The 20,415-nt window shown below is 36.7% G+C and overlaps 1 protein-coding gene and 1 long non-coding RNA gene across 21 annotated transcripts in view, besides 1 other annotated feature; one reads left to right on the top strand and one right to left on the bottom strand.

Annotated features, from left to right (window-relative positions):
• CDIN1 (CDAN1 interacting nuclease 1) overlaps positions 1 to 20,415 on the top strand; it is a 230,619-nt gene that overhangs the window by 83,897 nt on the left and 126,307 nt on the right. The window lies entirely within an intron of this gene.
• On the bottom strand, positions 5,376 to 19,271 carry LOC124903466 (uncharacterized). Its single transcript, XR_007064582.1, has 3 exons — positions 10,544 to 19,271; positions 7,483 to 7,803; positions 5,376 to 5,574 (listed from the first exon to the last, which is right to left on the bottom strand). It is a non-coding gene; the product is annotated as an uncharacterized LOC124903466 (long non-coding RNA).
• Positions 9,096 to 10,375: an enhancer, noted in NCBI's record as "VISTA enhancer hs828". NCBI's record gives its function as "enhancer in: hindbrain (rhombencephalon)[4/11]" and the evidence as "EXISTENCE:transgenic organism evidence [ECO:0001131][PMID:17130149]".

Here is a 20,415-nt window from a genome sequence, read left to right on the forward strand (position 1 = left end):
AGTGAGTTCTCACAAGATCTGATGGTTTTATACGGGCTCTTCCTTTTTGCTCGGCACTTCCCCTTCCTGCCACCATGTGAAGAAGTATGTGTTTGCTTCCCCTTCCACCATCATCGTGCTGAACTGTGAGATAACCAGGATTTGTGTAATTCCTAGCACTTTCCTATAACTCCACCACCTCTCTTCCACTCAAGGAAGCAAATTGGAATAAAACCGAAGGAGAGTACTATTACAGAAATAGCTAAATCAACTCTCATTTATTTAAAAGTACTTTTAAATAGATTTGGTATTAGTTATAAATAACTTGCAGCTCACTTTGTAATAGATCATGACACAGAACTATGTGTTGTTGACCGCAGTTAAGAACCAAGGTTGAAGATGATCCAGCAACACTGTAAAATGTGTTGAAGTAAGGTAATTCTGAGTGTAGTGAGAAAGACCAACTAATAAGCTATTGCATTATCTTTAGCAAACTTCAGGTCTGAACTACGGTTTACAATGAAAGTAATAAAGGAAATAAAGTCTGTAGACATGGCAATTTACTGGATACTGGTAGTGAGGAAGTAAAAGGAACCCAGGATGCATCTGAGATTTAAAAGTTGGGTATCTCATGCTAAGAGGAATAAGAGTTGCTTTGAATGAGAGAAGGGAAAAAATGGAATTCACTTCAGGCTATGAAATTCAGGTTCCAGACCACAGTTTATAGAAGAGTTTTATAAATGTGGAAGTGTGGGCTTCTTTCTCAGAGCCCCATATTTAGATTTGTGAATCATGTATAAACGGAATGGTTTTTCCAAGCAATTTCAAATAGGAGGAAGCACTCCGCATTCTACATGTGAACCCTCATTTGATTCTTAATTATTCAAGTGTTTATTTAATCCACAAAATTATTAATGATTAAATTTTCATTTGTATACCTACATATTTCAAGAATGAATACCTTATTGAGAAGTGAATACATTGAGCTTCTCTAGCTCATTCTAGAGGGTAATGCTTCCAACTGTTCGCAAGCCTCCTGTTTATTGATCACACTTTTTTTTTTTGAGACGGAGTCTCGCTCTGTCGCCAGGCTGGAGTGCAGTGGCACATTCTCAGCTCACTGCAAGCTCTGCCTCCCGGGTTCACGCCATTCTCCTGCCTCAGCCTCCCAAGTAGCTGGGATTACAGGCGCCCACCACCACGCTTGGCTAATTTTTTGTGTTTTTAATAGAGACGGGGTTTCACCATGTTAGCCAGGATGGTCTCGATCTCCTGACCTCGTGATCCGCCCGCCTTGGCCTCCCAAAGTGCTGGGATTACAGGCCTGAGCCACCGCGCCCAGCCTGGTTACACATTTATTAAGAGGGAAATATTATTTCCTTATGCATTGCATGAGGGTGCTTTTTATATTCTTGTAAAATATTAAAACATGAGGAAAGTTTTAGTTAACAAACTTTTAAAGCTTCTGCATGATGCTATGTTTTCAATTTCTTGAAAGCTCCACTGTATCATATTTTATCCTTTGAAATGTGTTGGCCTAGACAATTCAGATGAAATTCTAGGAGTAGGAATGAACTTATTTTGGAATCTATGCTTTTATTGATAAAAAGTCGTATCTTTGGTTAGGCATTTTCTTGTATCTGTTTGTAGACTTGCTTTTTACTACTGGTGAAATGAGAAAATAACTTATTTTCACTAGTTTGGATAAGACATATAAGAGTACATGCATTGTGTGATAAATATTAACGGTAATGATTGTATTGAAAGATTTTGTCATTCAAGAAGCTCTGTGTTGGAAATTAGATTTCAACTACGCTTTATAGTGTAAAGTGTAGTCTATAACCCATGATTGTGGGTACAGCAGAGGATGGTTTCTTGAAATTCAAAAATAATCTACCTTGGCTATTAATGTTGATATTTTACTGAGCTTATAAATCCTGCTTACTATAGAAAACCTTTACTGGTTAATGTTCTTCCCCTTTTATTTTTCTCAACTCGTGAAGAAAATTTAAATATATGAAAAGCAAACTGATCAGTGAACAGGTTGTTAGGATAGAGAAAGAGGATGGTGAAAGAGTAGTTAAGGAAGGTCCAAAGAGATTGCAGGGTTTATCCACAACCTGAAGAGACGCACAGAATCAAGGATTGATGACCTATGTTGCTTCATTTGGACAGAGATGGTCTTTCCCACCACCACTGGAGCTTTTGTCTTAAGAAGACTATGGAAGTCAAAAATGGTTCATAATGTATAGTGCTTATGTATGCTAAATTTTCTGGTACAATCCTGATTTCATATACTTTTTTTTTCTGTTTAAAGAAAGTTATTTTTAATATTTATAATACAGTGGAATTTTCTTAGAACTTCAAAACATACTTTCATTTACATATATTGATACATAAGAAAAACCCTCTTTTTAGTTTATATTTCTCATTTTGGTGTTTGTATGGGATATTGACTTGACGTTTTTGGTTATTCCAGGATATTTATTGCAGAACCATGCAGATTTGTTTTTCTTCTTTAGAAACACAATAACTTAATAGAGGTACTTTTTGTTTATCTTAAGGGAAGTAGTTACTGTGGATGCCAAATTATATTGTATCTTTGCTCTTTTTAATAAAGGGCTGTTCTTATTTTACTTCTTTTAAAAAAAATCAGGTAAATTTACTAGGGGATAGAATTTTTGCCTGAGCCTATCAGACACAAAGCCTTTTTTTTCTGACAATTTCATAATTATTGAGTGGAATTGTGGAAATTATGGAATACAGAAATCAAGTAATTCTCCTCTACCCCCACTGATGAAATGTAGTAGACTGAGAATTATCATGGCTGGTATTTTCAGGGGATTTTACAGCTAAGTTGATTAGCCGCTAAACCTAGTCTCTTTGTAGTTGTTCCCTTCTGCAGTCTACTGATCTTTATCTGTATCCCATCCCTGCTAACACTTGCCCCTTCCCCTCACTATACATACACATTTGCCAGAGACTGCAAGATTGTCAGAACAATGTTCTTGGTTATATTGTGCCTATTGTATAGATCTCTGTTTAATCGTGTTATTTTCTCCCATTTGATTTTCATCCTTAGATACCAATTTGGACCTCTGTATTTAGATTTCCTTTTAGCCTAATTCATTCTTCCTACAAAGTACTTATGCACTTTCAGTTTTCTTTTTCTCCTGGGTTAGAATGCCCCAAACTTCCCTATTCCATGAATAGCTCATTTCTTGGTTCCCATTATGTTTCTGCCACCTCCATGCACTGTCTTAGATGAGCTGTCAGTTTTAATGCTTTCTCATGTCCTTATTTGGTTATTAGCTGCTTAAGGCAGTTCAAATAAGCAATGATAATAAAATTTGACACTTAATATGCACATATTATATACCAGGTACTTTCTAGGTGCTTTACCTACTTGGATATTTATTCCTCATAACAACTTTATAAGTCAAGTAGTAGTATTATCCCCATCTACAGATGAGGCAACCGAGGTACCCAGAGCTTAAGTGATTTGCTGCAGGTCATGCAGTGAGCAGTGACAATGTGATTCCAGAGCCTGTGCTCCTCACAATTATGCTCAACTACTCCCCTTTGGAAAAATATATTTTATAGCACAGTTTTGTCTTCTGAAAGTTAGTTACGTAGCAAATCATTTTCATGAGTCAGAAAGCTTGCAAGTCAATACTGTAGGTAACAAATGTCCTTGCCTGGACAAACTCATCAAATTCCCCAGTTTACCCAAAAAGAGCTCTTATTTTTTGTAATCCTCCAACACACTTTTAAGTGCTTGTGTAATTCATTTACTTATGTCACATAGCACTATATGTCTTTGTAAAAAGGAGCCTTAACATGTAAGTGCTTAACCTTTATTTCTTAATCATGAGCTTTTAAATTGTTATTGTGCTGACATAATTAGGTGTAGCACCTAAAACGCTTTGTGTGTACAGCTATAAAAAGAAAGTAATGTGATCTAGGACAGACAGTAAAGCTGTATCTAGGAAGAAATCCTATGGAAGGTTGAAATTCAATGTGGTAACTGCCAATTATCTAAAAGGAAGTCTATTACTTTATGATAAAACTGTCAAAATAATGATTGGGTACTCCTACAAATTGTACAGAGAATCAATAAAACCAATATTACGTCACAGTTTGAGAATTTAGGAATTCCACTTTTCTTCTTATTCATGAGAAGACGCTAATATATTTAAGAATGAGATGATACGAAGTTTTTCTTTTGTGCTTCACCTTATAGCTCTTATTTTAGTTGTTAATACTATTTTGCTTAAGAAGCTTGATGAACAACATTCTTGGAAAATATGAATAGTATTTTTTCATTAGCCAGATAAAAATATGCAGACAATATGAGCTATTTTCTTTACAAGAACATAAAATACAACACGTCAAGTAGATTGTAGGTAATTTCTGCTTCATTCAGGACCTATGTGTTGGCCTCTTGGATTATAGTTGATCTGTGATGTCATTGTATACAAGCTAACCTTTGTATTTTAAAGGGGATTCCCTAACTTATTCTTGCTAAAACTGATTATTATGTGTAGGTAAATGTTTTGTCTTCTTCACTAAGCCACCTAATCTCCAATTTCTTGTTTTTGTTTTTCAGCCTGAGAAGATGTTTTATATAATCAGTACAGGACTAATTTTTCTTGGGCTCAGTGTTCCTTGTCTTGGTTCATTGCCTAGATACATCCATAAATATTTGTTGACTTGAGGTGAATATTTTGTTGATAATGTACCTACCATTTCCTTGTGACTCTAGGGTTGAGAGGGTATCAAGAAATTTTGTAGCTAACATGTAAAACATTTCAATAGAACTTTATAGTTTATAAGAAGTTTTGATATATTTTATTTGACACATAAATAGCTCTGACATAGCTAAGGCAAATGTTATGATTGCATTTTATAAATGATAAACTGAATTTCAGGTTAAGTGACCAGCTTAGTCATACAGTTAGAAAGGACAAGAGCTGGGACTTGAACTTGGAAAACCCAAGCCTACATGTCCTGCTTACTCTTGTTACATGCCTGAATGCACAAATGAACAAACAAAAGCAATGAACGAGTGGGAGAATCTGTGTCTTCTGATTTCAGATTCATCCTCTCTCCATTATTTAATGAATGTAAATCGACTGCATTGTTTAGATATTGCCCAAGTGTTTAGCATCTCTTACTGTCATAAAAGTTTTTCTTCTTTTTACCTAAATCTCACCTATTATCATTGGTGCATATTTCCACAATATGTCGAGTTGGAGTCCCAGTTTGATCCTATACTAGCTGTCATCCTGGGTGAAGTCTTCCAGAGCCCTAGTTTGCTCTTCTTTAAAATCAGATAACAACATTTACCTTTCAAAGTTAAACAGATTAAAGATGATTTTGTAAATTGCCTGGCATGTTACTTGGCACATAGTAGGCACTCAAAGAATCATGATTTTTATAGTAATAGGCAGTAATATTCCAACAAATACTTACACTTGAGCCATATGAAGGATTAATTTCCCTTCTTCTTCGTTAGGTACTCTTGAATTGTGAATTCTCTGATAATTTTAGAGATCCTTTTCGGAAACCTCTTGAAATAATGTTTACGATGCTCTGTATGGGCGGAAATTAATTATGGTCTTATGAAAGCTACATAGAATGGAGGCTGGCCTCAATTTCCTGAATTCGTTTTCTAATTTATTATATCTTATAGTAACAAAACAACAGCATATGTTTAGATCTATCTGCATATGCACTATTGAAATTTACTTTTTTCCTGCTGTAATTACCCATACTTGTATCTTATACTTCTGGAATTCTTATAACCAACATTCTCAAAAGTAACAGGGGTTGATGTTTTTAGTGGTAATGAAAGGGTTAAGTTTGTCATAAGGTCATTTCTGGGAGAAGCAAGTCTAATAGAAAGCTTTTACTTTTTTAAAATAAAATTTTATTTTGGGATAATTTTAGACTTACAGAAAAGTTGCAAAGATAGTACAGAGAGTTCTGCCTATATCCATCACTCAGTTTTAGTTATCCCTAATGTTATCATCTTATATTACTGTGATACATTTGTCAACACTAAGAAACCCTCACTGGTACCTTACTATTATTGATTGCACTCCAGACGTAATTCAAATTTCACCAGTACCCAATCCAGGATTCCACATTACATTTAGCTGTCTTGTTTCCCAAGTCTCCTCTGGTGTGTGAAAGCAATCTTTTCTTGTTTTTGATGGTCATGATGTTTTTGCAGAGGATATTCTGCATAATGCCTTCAATTTGGATGTGTCTAAGGTTTTTCTCATAGATTTGGGGAAGAATAAGGTGAAGTTCCCTTATCATTATATCATATCAAGGGGTATGTGGTATCAACATGATTTATCACTGGTTATGTTAACCTTAATCTGTTGGTTAGGTTAGTGTTTGCTAGATTTCTCCATTGTAAAATTACTATTTTTCCCTTTCCATACTCTCTTCTTTGGAAGCAAGTCACTAAATTTAGTACACACTCAAGTTGAGGAGAATGATTAAACTCTGCCTTCTGGAGAGAGGAGTGTGGAGAGATATTATTTGGGTTTCTTCTGTAAGGAAGTTTAGTCTCCTCTCCCTGTTTATTTATCATTTTTATATTTGAACTTACATATATGTATAATTTTGAGATACAGTCCCACTAAACAACTTTTATTTAGATTTAGAACTTAAATTTGTAGCATACATTTTAATTTTTTCTTTTAATTCCATACTCCTTCTTCTCTTGTCTGTGTTACCCATAAACTGAGCAAACATATATCCTTGTCTGCTATTCATTTCAGTGATAAACTATTTAACAGAAGTCCAGAGTAGCGCTCCTCTTCAAGAACACAGATAAACTCTTTCGTTAGTTACTCTTGTTAATAAAGAGGCCTGATAAGTATCAAAAGTAAATTTCCTCAATCTGACCTAAATTTTGACAAATCTATTATATTTATTAACAGACACCTTTGTATTTCGGGTTGATTTTGTTTTTGCATATCAAGTAGTTTTGATTATTTAGAAGCAACAGTTTTGAAGTGAGGCCATCAATATACAGGTGAATTCCTTTTAAAACCAGACCTTTGAGTTCTTTTTTATGCTTCAGTCATCACTCTTCTCTCCGTAAATTATCAAAAATGCTGGATGATCAGTGAATACCTTTGTCTACAAGGTATGGATGGTAAGAATTTCCTATAGCCTTTTTACTTGACTTATTTTTGAATTATTTCTTGTTTTAATCTTGGTTTTCTGCCTGTCCATTGTAGCTGTTCCTGTTTTCAGACTGTGAACATTGGTAAAGAATGAGATAGAGAAAAGTGTAGCTTCTTTAGGAATATTCCTTTAAATGATATTTTGTATATTTAGTTGCTTCAGTTTAGACTTTTAGCATTTTTATTTACATGAGGAAAAAAAAACACTAAATAAGAGAGAAAAGAGTATATTGTGTTTAATAATCTGCCAGTTGAGAACACTAAGGTTGTAACTTGAGCGAAAACTTATTCTTACCACTTTAATAGTATCCAGCAGCATTTCCTCTGTGTTTTTGTTTGTCTCTAGTTGTATCTGAAACAAGAAAATAGGAAAAGTCTCTGAATTATTTGTAGTATGTGAAAGAGGGAACATTAATGTGTGGCCTTATTCTGAGGTATTTAGCAACAGATTGTCTTCTCCTTCCAGTGCAGCCACACAGGGAAGAGGCCGTTCTGTCCTTGGGGATGAAGGAAGTAGCTGCACCAGTCACGAAACCATTCATCTGTTGCGTGTTCTTTGAGTCAGCACTGGCATTGGCAATATTCTTTGTCTGGGGTTGCTTGTCTTGCTTTTTGCCTGGAAGGTAGAAAACGGTATCTTTAGCAAAAGTATGAAAGGCAAAAGGATTGGGGGAAATTAGGTTGACAAGTGGATGAAAAAAGGGCAGATTTTTTTGTTTTTAATATTTCCTGTCTTATTTTTTAAAATCATTCTGACATATTGTGTGTGTGTTTCTCTTTTTTTTTGTTTACTGAACATATACCACCCCCACCCCATGGAAAGCTGGTTCTTTTGGCTGAATTGGGTTATCTACTTTCTAGAGACTTAGGCTCTAGTAGGACAGATGAGGTCCTCACAGCTGCATGTTCAATTTAGATCAAAATCGTTACTCAGCAAACATATTATCCAGTTTCTTCCTTGAGCAGGCCATATGATCATGTGATCAGCTAGGATTTAGTTCATTCGTCAGGCACCGATTTTGAAAGATTTTATTGTTAATGTTGATGTTTTTTAGGTACTGTTCCTCTTACAATTGTCTTCCTTTGAGAAGATTTTATTTGTACCTATAGCAGGTGTGTTTGACAGTTCTGAAAATTGAGCCTTGTGTTGTGTGCAGTCATGTAAACAATGTGGAATCACCTTTGGGTCTAGAAGAACTTCAGAATACATCAGTTTTGGTTTCTTCTAAGGGATAAAAATGTGCACTGTTTTAATTAATCATTTTATGGATTTTGATGTTTTGAAATTTGTTTGACCTTGGCAATGTTGTTTTTTTCCCCACCAGGAATTAAAATAGAGTAGGCAGAATTTTGAAACATTCAAAATGTCAGCTTGCTTTGGCATAAAAAGTGGAATGTTAAATTTTATTAGTTTAAATTTTTAGAATTTCACTTAGCATTTTTTTTTTGAAATAGGGAGAAAACAGTTTTTTGTACTGTTTCTTTTTACTGTATTCTTTTTCTATGAAACATGTCTTGAATGTTTCCTTTTTTCCTCACTATAATATGAAAGAAAACAAGTTTTGAAATTTTAAACTCTTAGAGTAGTTATACTTTTTTTATTGTAACATCAAAGGATCTCTGTATCAATATGAATTTTCTTTTTCATTCAACAATATTTAAGTACCTCTGTGTGCCAGGTACTATTACAGGCTCTTGGGAGATCTCAGGAAAGCCAAAAACAGACAAAATCCCTGTCCTCCAGGAGCTTGCATCCTAGCAGTGAAGGCCAATCATACACATATAAAGAAATCAATAATGCAGTATATTAAGGTGGTAAGTGCTATGGGGGGAAATAGAACAGTGCAAACATGCTGAACACCTGTGTGTATAAAGGTGGAGAATAACTAATTTGATCGATTTGGTTGGGGTGGGGGGAGGTCTCAAATTCAATTAAGCAAGGAAGTATACTCCAGGTTGTCTTGTAAAATAGTTTAGTAGCATCTCAGACTACCAAATGGCTAACTTTTCACCAATCCAGAAGCATATTCATCACTTTGTCAACTTAATGGTAGGGTTGATCAGCGCCGAATCTTGTTACTTCTTTAAAAAAAAAAAGGCAAGGGAAATCAGTTCATAGTATACTAAGTGCCTTTTTATTTTTGAATAATGAGATGGGAGCAGTTCATTAGCTGCTGGAGGGAAAAAAAGCAGGGTAAGCAGGGCTGTACCTGGCTTGACAAGTATACTAATTACTCTCTTTCACGTGGATCTGAAGGCATATTCAGTTCAGTTTAATGATCAGACGAAAAGGCATTAGAAGGTCCCGGCTCTGTCAGGTGAGGAAGAGCAGGTGTAAGCAGATTAGTTCTGCCAGAGTAACCCTTTGGAGTCATCTTCTCTGGGATGGCACTGGGGAAAAGTATCAGCACTTTTTATTTCTAGTGGGAAGATAAATTTAAGAGGAGTAAATTGGAAAATCAAATGAGGGCTTTAGCAGCCGGGGAGATTTGCAGAGCTGTCTCCGGGTGTTTGAAAGGCCCATTCATCATGTCCTACAAGTAGTCAATTCCTCTAGTATCTGTAAATGTTTTCAGATATTAGCCAATTTATATGCTCTGAGATTCATCATGGAAAATCAGCTTTACCATCGTGCATTATCTCCATCTGAGATGAAGTTTGATATATGAGCATCTTTGCAGTTCAATGAGTTGTGTGCAAAAAAGTACGTTTTTAATTAATAAACAAATTTGCTCAGGAGCTCATCAGTGTCAAGAGTAATAACGATTGTCATTCATTATTGTTTATTGCATTCCTCCTGCAACAAATGTTGCCTTCTAATGAGATTTCTTTCCTATTTTTTAATTTAGTTAATGGCATTTTCATCCCAGAGAAAAATGCAAATTTCTTGTACAAAATGTACCAAACCAGCCAGTATGCTTCTCTGGAGCTGAATCGTATAAATTGTCAAAACTACTTTGCTTTGAATGGCCCTTTTTTGTGTTTTCAACATCCCTTTTTGGTAGATAAAGATGGAAAAAAAAAATTTGGCAGGGTGGGTGATTATGAAAACTATACTATACCAAATAAAAGGCTTCCACATTTGAACAAAATTCTAGTGTGCATTGAGGTGGCAAGGACATTTCTTAGACTGATGCTCATGCTTTTGTATAGAGTAAGGAATTCAGAAACACACACTGTAAAGGGGGTGGGATGTTTAAGAAATTAGGTGAGAATGAGATTTTTTTTTCCTGAAAGTAACGGAATTTTTCTCTAGTACATACACACATACACACACTCCACATAAAAGAATATATAGTTATGAAAGTGTCACATTCCTCTTTTGAAAAAGCCGTATATATTTCTCTTAACCTTACCATGATCTGGCCTGTTAGGTGAGAATACGCTGTCTAATAAAGGCTCCTTAATAAGCGTATGCTTGTGGTGTTGGAACCTGCAATGATGCAGAGATGTTCAAGTGTTATTATTTACTGCAGTGTTTGCGCAGGACGGCGAATCCTCTGCTGCAAATGGCATTACAGCTGTGATGAATGAGCATTAGGGTAACTCATTTTAAATGTGCTTGATTTATTAGCGCGGGGGTCTCCATTTCCAGCAGGTCAATGCTTTACTGAAACACACAAAGTCATTGTCAAGGTCAGCCTCTTTATGAATTTTTTAAACAAAATGCCTTGACCACATATCAGGTCCTTCATAGAAAGGAAAAACAGAAAGGAATAGCTTTTGCAAAAAGATTTCTTTTAAAAGGCCAAAGGCAATGTTGGTCAAGCTTCAATTATGATTCCTAGTAAGACAAGAACCTTAATGTTCACTGTTTGCCTTCGGGGATGTTTATTACACACAACTATTTTGCAGAAGCAGCGTCAAATGTACAGTATAAAACTACCATTAGGCAGAAAAATCAATCAAAATGCCATTAAAGTGGAATAAGTTGCCAATATTGCTGATGTGGTTGCAGGTCCTTTGATTTTCTTTCAGATTATTAGGCACAGTCTAGTAGTGACTTTGTTAAGGGAAATGAGTGTTGTTCAGAAGTAATATGTCTCTTGGCTTCATAAAGTTTGTGGCCTCATATTTCCCAGTTTATTGATTATCCATTATCGTTTGTCATGAGGCGTCCTAACTCAAGGGGAAAATATAACTCTCTTTTTCTTGCTGAACGGTAGTGCTGTATAGATCTGTAGAAAGGTTTTTCAGATGTACCAATCTCCGAGAAAAATGAGCAAAGAAATAAAGCAATGAGTGTGCCTTCCAGGTCTGAGCAGTTTAAAGGGTAGATTGCTGACAGTACTTTGTTCTCACATCAACCCTTTTTCCCCTCATAACGAAGAAAGAAGTTCGTGAGGCCACTGAAATACTCCAAGCTCAGGATACTGCAGCTGTATGTGATAATCTAAACATGAATGTTCTTATTATCCTGGCATAATGGTGCTTAATTTATAGATGTTTTGGGTTCATATTCATTTTTATTGGTGACTATTAACATTTTTTTCTGCTAAAGTCAGCAAAAAATGTAATTAAATGGTTCTTTTAATTTACACTTAATTGCTGCACTGTGGGAGTAATTTCTTCAGTTCTTAAAAATGTATTAAATTCCTCATCCCTGTCTTCAACTGTTCTGTTGACCACGGCCACTGTAAAAAATTGCCAAGGGTACAAAATGCAAATCATCTGTTTTCTATGGAGTAGTTTCTAGCACTCCTCTGTCATTTGGGGTGTCCAAAGGTGATGCTTACAGAACAAGTGTTGCTTCAGAGACTAATTGCCCTTCTCCCTTAACACACTTTGTTTCCAGAGCCCCAAGAGTTTGCAGCATGTCTTTTTGTAAACTCTATCTCTCACTTTGGCACAGCATTGTGCTGCCATTGTGCTCAGCGGCCTTGCTGAAAGATTAATTACAACTGAAGAAATGTATCTTTTAACTGTCTCATTACATAAAGAATTCATAGTGAAGTTAACATCCGCATCATTTAATGATATACGGATTTTAATTATATAGTACACTGTTAATTGTACAACTATTTTTAGATCAGGCTACTAACTTGTTCATTTAAATGAATAGCTCATTTGCTTGAGGGACCAAAATGTAAGCTTTCTTGAAAACTCAAGAGAATCTTGAAACCGCTGCAAAAATATGTTAACCTGGTAGGATATTTTTATGGTATTTGTCTCTCCTTAAAATGAAGCTGACCTGTACCTCGCCTTCGTTGCATAGGTTGTTTGACACATAGAATTTTGACTTTTTTTTTGGTACCTAATAAAGTGCAAGAAAGATAGATCTCTGTGTTGGATAATGGGCAGAAATTGAATAGCGGTGTTTTCCTTGAAAGTTGTTGAGATTTTTCTCAGGAGAATTAGACGAAAGTTATTTCTGAATAGAAGCACTGTCCCTGGCTGTAATTAGTCACATGGGTTTAGTTCCCAGGAAATGTTTCTTTCAGCATACTAAAAGTGTTTGAATTTTCATATCGTTTAACATGCCTTGAAATTTCGCCTCTGCTCACCTACCTATCCCTCTCCTACAATTTAAGATATAAAGTTTAGGTTGTTCTTTCCCGTTAGATTCGGGAGCCTGCCGAAAAAGAACACACTTTTGTGCCCCCTTTCCTTGAATACTTCCAATCCTGGGCAACATTTTTAATGACTTAGAATTAACTGCTTTCTAATTATGCACTGAGGCAGACACCATGATGTTGTATGGGCCTTTGCCAGCAATTGGAAACACAAGAGACATAAATGAGCAGGCTACCAGAGGGAATTATTAGAGAGGCTTCTTGAAGTCATCAACTTGCAAAGCAGAGACTTGCCCTTGTCTCATTGAATAATACAGACTTGGTCATACCAGTAGCCACTGTGGTATCACCTTTAGAAGCATCCAGTTTTCTTTCTTTTCATAGACTATAAGACATTTGATCTCATCAGGCTTTCTGGATACCCCAGTAAATTTCGGTAGGTCTTTGCTGCCATGAACTTTCTCCTCTGATCTTGAATGGGAGTTTTCGCTTTACCTGTATCTCACCTCTCATGTTGGGCCCCAGTGAGCCCAGAAGAGGGCTTCCCTTCATTATGTGGCCCTATATTTGCTCTGCATGGAGCACTAGCTTGAAACTTTAATTGCTAATATATGAATTGGAGGAAAATCCAGGAGGGAGGAGGTAATACCATGGAATCTCTTACCGTAAGTTTAAACTATTTATAAAAGTACTATATAACTGTTAACAACAACAACAAAAATGTGTGCTAGTAAGGTCACTTCACATACCTATACCAGTGATAAGCAGTCCTCTTTGGGAGATGAGTCATTAGATGTTTTCACGGTTTACCTCAAGATCCATTGTATCCTATGAGAAAGAGTAGTCTTCTCTTTCCTTTGGCAGTGTGTTCATAAATGTATTTATTCAGCAGTTTGTTGAGTAGCTATTTTGTGCAAAGTGGCTTTGGAGTGGTAACAAATAAGCTTTCTGCTTTTAAGCAGCTTGCCAAATACCCTGACAAAAACAATTCCTTAATCCTCCATGTGAACCATGCATTCTCAAAGGGGGTGAGATTGTGTAAACAGATATGCAGCATATCTGTGGCATTAAAATTTCATGGGGGGAGCAAGTAAGAAAAAATAAGAAGTCTTCTGAGGTGGGTCCTAATGAATAAAAGAAAAGGTTAAGAATCATCTGTTTAGACTAAATAAGGGCCACATAAATCCAAGCTTGAAATCTGAAACCTTGTAGCCTCACCACCAATAATAAACTTGTGAGATTTCTTTCTTGTCTTCTTAGGGGTGACCACATGATGAGCCTCAATCTACTTCCATGTGAAAACCCCCAGATACTTAAAGACAATATTAAGAAAATATTGACACCTTTTTAATGTGGCATGATTTAACATTTCAGCATCCTGATCAATCTCTTGTCATCAGTTGACAAAGTGACATTTAATCAAGTGCCCAATGATTGATACACAATATGAGTTCTCTCCATTCCACAATATGAGGGAGAGGAAGGCAAGTGGATTGGAAAAAAATAAGAGAAGGCTTTAATGGAGGAGGTAAACATTGAACCAGGCCTCAAAGTTTTAGCCAAAGGAAAGTCAGGAAAAAAAATTCCAGATTTGGAAGTTGTGTGTGTGAGTGTGGAGAAGAATTCAGTATATTCATAGCATTAACCAGGTGCTTTCTCAATGTTTGTTGAATGTGTGCTTGTTGGATAAGGATTGGTGGCATATAGCGGCTATAAGGCTGCAAGTTGCCTGAGACAAGGTTCCGATCAGTCTGAACACTCATGCTTTGGAGATATCTTCCTCTTGTCCTTACATAATACTTTTATATTTGATAGCTCTAGTCTAAGTTATTTCTTACATGATTATGTGCTAGTTGGAGAGAATAATTTAATTTGTCCCTATAGGATTCCCTAATGTTAAAAGATATTTCTTATTCAGATTGTCAAATGAGATCAAACTGCTTTAGATTTCACTTTTATGCAGTGGGAGAGCCAGTGGGCTAGTGCTTAGAATTCTTGAGGAGTAGTTCCAACTGCAAGGGCAAGTAGGCTCCTGCAGGCCACTGGCAATATGGAAATTGTTCAGGAAAGACACTGGCAGGTCAACCCCTGTGGAGATGTAGCTTGGGACTTTAGTGACCATGATATCCAAAGGCGTTAAACCATCATTGGAAGAAAAGATGAAATACTAATTGGTATTTAGGCTTTGCTGTCTTGGAGTTCAGCCCCTGGGGCAGCCACATGAAGAGGCAAAGCTCCTGGTGTACCTTGGGAGTATTGCCAGCAGCAGTTTCCATATCCATCCAGCTGTTCAGTTGCAGAGTCTGTTTGTGTGTGTGTTTTAAGTGGGGAGAGAACTAGGCTCTCACAACACAGCTCTGACTGTGCATGACTTTTCCTTCTCATCTTTATCCCTATGTCTGTCCTTCCTTCACACATCCTTTCTTCTCCCTGACTGCTGCCATCCAGTACACAATCAGTCCATACTAGTTCCCCTATCTTGCTTAAACCTATTTGAGATCTTAGATTAGGGATCCCAACGATATATGGTCTTGTTTTTGTTTTAGTTCAAGTGCAGCCTAATCAAAAGGCATTCTTTGCAGTAGGCAGGACTTTCGGGATCTTGAGAGCGCAGATGTTTCACCTGCTTGTTTGCCTCAGTTTCTTCTAGCAGTAGCTGGCTACTTCTCTGACCTCATGCTAAGGAAAGCAAGAGCTATAAAAATGGATGTGATATTAGTTATTCTTGGGAAAGTCTTTACTTGCTTGGTTGCTAATACTTGAAATGCCCTTAGCTGGGGGAAAATTCTTCTATTATGTCGTTATAGACAAGACTTAAATAACAAAGTTTCCAAGAGTGACAACACATTCACCTAATACACACAGAAGTAGAAAGGACTTCTACCTAGTTCTTTTCAAGCCCACTTTTAGTAGTGGATTGTGCACTGAGTGCCACAAAAGAGTGTGTATGTGTGTATGGGCTGGGGTGGGGGAGTGGGGATGTAAGATGGGAGTATCAATCTGGCATTGGCAAATTTTGCCTGTTGAATAGATTGACTTCTGGCTGTCTCTCAAGCCTATGGCAGGGCCCTGACTTTATAAACATCTCATCAAATCAACTATAACATCCCAAGTCTCAAACAGCCCAAGTTCATAACAGTGTGTTATTTTATTTCATCTTCACAACAGCCCTGCAAGGTAAGCACCAATGTTATTCTCTTTTACAAACAAGGATACTGAGAGGTGTCAACATTAACTTGTTAAGATAACATGACTAGTAGCTGGAAGAGCCAGGCCTCGAACCAAGTCTGTCTGATTCTAGACTCTGCTCATAACCGCTTATCCTTACTGCCTGTCTGTTTGAAAGTGTTATTCTGCATGTCTTTCCTAGTTTACCTTTTTTCAAGGAAGACATATTTTTCTTCTTTTGAGGAAGATGTAAATAAAAATATTGGTCCTGTTATATGACTTTCAAGTCTAGATCATAAGAGGTCTTAAACTTATGCATCATTATCTGGGGATGCTTGCTCTTGGAACCCACCAACCTTTTCAAGGAGAAGCCCAAACAGACCTTAGGGAAGCCTTACTTCTCTAAGTCTTGTGTCAGGAAGCCAGGGCCCCTCACCCACATGGCAGACATGCAAGTGAGCCGCCACCAAAGTGAATCCTTCAGCACCCAGGTGATGCACCCCAGTGGAGACCACAGGAAGAGCAAATTGTCTCCACTGAGCCAAGGCCAAATTGCCAAATAATGAGCATGTTGAGAAATTGTTTAAAGCACTCTACCCAAAAAACGGAGGGTTATATTTGAGAATCTAATAGAACTGATTCTCACATCCACAGAAACAAGTTGTCTTCTTTCCCAAGCTTGATGATTAGCACAGTGCTTTGGCCTGAGACATCATGGCAGCTGTTGGAGGAATCAGGATAACAATGCATTTTATAGCCACCAATGACCATTCTCCCTTTTCCCTGGCTTCCCAGATGCCATAACAGTAGGCAGGTCCTTAGTAGTAGTTTAGGTGATTGCACTCCCCATCCTGTCCGTATGCCTGTCACTTGCCCTTCTTTCTGTTGTTTGGGAGTCCAACTTCTTAGAAGGATCTTTTTAAGTATAGTTTTATAACTCTGGCTCCAAAGAAAGTTAACAAACAAAAAAGTAAATAAGTATTCCCCTGAACTTATTACTAAAGGGCCTTCAAAAATTTCAACAACACGGCAGAGTGAGCTTTTGTTAGTGGGCCATATTTCCATGAAAAAGATAGAAATGATAGACAAAATTTTTAAAACTTTAAAAGATATGTGACCAGGTATAAACAAGAGAAGTAAAATCTTTGGGTATCAGAAATGGAGAAAGAACCTGTATTCAGAATGATCTACAGAAATTGCTAACTTCAGATATAGACACGAGGGGCTGGGCTTGGGTTTTGAACTCCCCAGGGGACAGATATGCAACTAAGAGCCGGAATTGAGCTTCCATGTATAGCTCAAACCATATAAAAAGGACTAGAAAAACTCTACTTTCTTGGAGAAAATGGCAAGGAAGCTTGCTTGGTGGATGTGGCCTTGGGTTGTGCAGTATTGAGAGAACAAATAGAAATTAGAAATAAGTCAGCACTATTTGTGGGGTTGGGTCCAAATTTATGCTCCTGTTTACTGCAGAAAGGCCAAGCAAAGAAATTAACAATAAAACTGGTCTTTGCAAAACTAAACATGAAACTACGTTGTCATGGTTAATTCTACAGTGCAGGTCAAACAATTCTTGCTGAAAATAAGCTCCCAATAAAAATTTACAAGCCAATGGAGGAGACCAATTACCATGGAGAAGTGGACAGAGACAGAGAAAGAAAGAAAAATAGAATACCATGAACTAGAGATAAGGAAATGACACTATAAACTATAAGACAAAGTATATAAAGTATAAAATCTAAACATTTTATATATTTGCATATATATATAAACTGAGTAAATAAAAATAACTGAATAAATAAAGGTATAGAATTTTGTAAGAGCAGATTTTTAAAAAATAAAATGTAGAAATGAAATAACAGTCATTGAGAAGCTCATTAGCTGAGTGATGTATTAGACAAAAAGATTAGGAGAAAATTAGAAGAATTAGATTACAAGAAAATTTAGTGAATTCTAGGGTGACTCTAAGGAAAGCATCCTTAATATGACACAAGGATGAAGAGAGGGGAAATACAAACACTTTGTGAGAGTAGGAGACATAGAGGATAGAATAAGATCTTCTAACAGATGTCTAATACCAGTTTCAGAGGAGAGAATAGAGGACAAAGCTGTAATGACTCAGAATTTTTCAAATTGGTTAAAGGCATATATTCTTAGCTTCATGAAACAACTAATTCCAAGCAGACGAAATACAAATAGCCACATCTAGGCACACAGTGATGAAACCATTGAATGTCAAATAAAATATTAAAAGTAATCAGAGATAAAAAGACAAATTACATATATAGGGATTAGTTTTAGACTGACATTAGAGTGCTTATAAGTAACGGTAGATCCCGAGAGAGTAGAATCTCCAGAGTTGAATTAAAATGACCCTTAGCCTGTAATTGTATACTATGTTTTATTATTATTCAAGAGTGAGAACTAAGTACAGATATTTTTACATAAGGCAAGACTAAAACATTTTTACTGCTCACGGATTTCAGATGAAAGAACTAATAAATGAAATGCTTCAGTAACAAGGATATTGAATCCAAAAGCAGAGAATGGGATTCAAGAAGCAATGCTGAAAAAGGAAATACGGCAAATGTGTTGATAAATTTAAATAAACGTTGAGTGTTTAAAAAAATGGAAATCAACTCTTAGAGTTCTCCAGAGAAACAGAACCAATAGGAGGGGTGTGTGTATGTGTGTGTGTGTGTGTGTGTAATTGATTTATACAATTATAGAGTCTGATAAGCCTCGAGTTACAGTTGACAAGCTGGAGACCCAGGAGAACTGATAGTGTAGTCCCAGTTCCAGGCTAAAGCCCTGAGAATGAGAAGAGCCAGTGGTTGTAGTTCCAGTCTGAAGGCCAGCAGGCTTGAGACACAGGAAGAGCCAAGGTTTCAGTTAGAGTTCACAGACAGGAAGCAAACTAATGTTTCAGCTCCAAGGCAGAAAGAATTCTGTCTTACTCAGCCTTTTAGTTCTAGTCGGTCCTTCAATGGATTGCATAAGGCCCACCCACATTAGGGAGGGCAATTTGTTTTACCCAGTTTACATTCAAATTTTAATGTCATCCAGAAATACCCTCACAGACGCACCCAAAATGATGTTTGGGCTGGGCAAGGTCACACATACCTGTAATTTCAGCACTTTGGGAAGCTGAGGCAGGTGGATTGCTTGAGCCCAAGAGTTCAGGACCTCATGGAGAATCCTGTCTCTACAAAAAAAAAAAAACAAAAATTAGCTGGGGTTGTGGTGGCATGCACTTGTAGTCCCAGCTACCAGGGAGACTGAGATGGGAGGGTATATTGAGCCTGGAAGGTTGAGGCTGCAGTAAGTTGAGATCACACCACTGCACTCCATCCTAGGCAACAGAGCAAGACCCTGCCAAAAAAAAAAAAAAAAAAAGAAAAAAGAAAAGAATGATGTTTGACCAAATATCTGGGTACCCCATCGCCCAGTCAAGTTGACACATAAAATTTAACACCGTAGAGACTAATTGGGAAATTGTATTACAAACAAGATTGTTGAACAAAAATAACAGACACAATAACATGGGAGGCTGATAGAATTGTGTAAAAAAAGAGCAGATAGACTTTGAAGTAACAGTCATTGAGCAGCTCATTAGCTGAGTGATGTATTAGAGGGAGGCTTCCTGATTGGAGTGAATGTATTTCAATTTATTTATATGTAAAACAACAAAGATGTTACTGATAAAGATTATATATTGTTTAAGTTTAAACATTCTTTGAGAGAACTACTAAAGAAATCATCATGCCTATGTCCTGAATGGTATTGCCTAGGTTTTCTTCTAGGGTTTTTATGGTTTTAGGTCTAACATTTAAGTCTTTAATCCATCTTGAATTGATTTTTGTATAAGGTGTAAGGAAGGGATCCAGTTTCAGCTTTCTACATATGGCTAGCCAGTTTTCCCAGCACCATTTATTAAATAGGGAATCCTTTCCCCATTGCTTGTTTTTGTCAGGTTTGTCAAAGATCAGATAGTTGTAGATATGCGGCGTTATTTCTGAGGGCTCTGTTCTGTTCCATTGATCTATATCTCTGTTTTGGTACCAGTACCATGCTGTTTTGGTTACTGTAGCCTTGTAGTATAGTTTGAAGTCAGGTAGTGTGATGCCTCCAGCTTTGTTCTTTTGGCTTAGGATTGACTTGGCGATGTGGGCTCTTTTTTGGTTCCATATGAACTTTAAAGTAGTTTTTTCCAATTCTGTGAAGAAAGTCATTGGTAGCTTGATGGGGATGGCATTGAATCTGTAAATTACCTTGGGCAGTATGGCCATTTTCACGATATTGATTCTTCCTACCCATGAGCATGGAATGTTCTTCCATTTGTTTGTATCCTCTTTTATTTCCTTGAGCAGTGGTTTGTAGTTCTCCTTGAAGAGGTCCTTCACATCCCTTGTAAGTTGGATTCCTAGGTATTTTATTCTCTTTGAAGCAATTGTGAATGGGAGTTCACTCATGATTTGGCTCTCTGTCTGTTGTTGGTGTATAAGAATGCTTGTGATTTTTGTACATTGATTTTGTATCCTGAGACT

The sequence above is a fragment of the Homo sapiens genome, chromosome 15 (genome assembly GCF_000001405.40).
Source record: "Homo sapiens chromosome 15, GRCh38.p14 Primary Assembly".
NCBI lineage: Eukaryota > Metazoa > Chordata > Mammalia > Primates > Hominidae > Homo > Homo sapiens.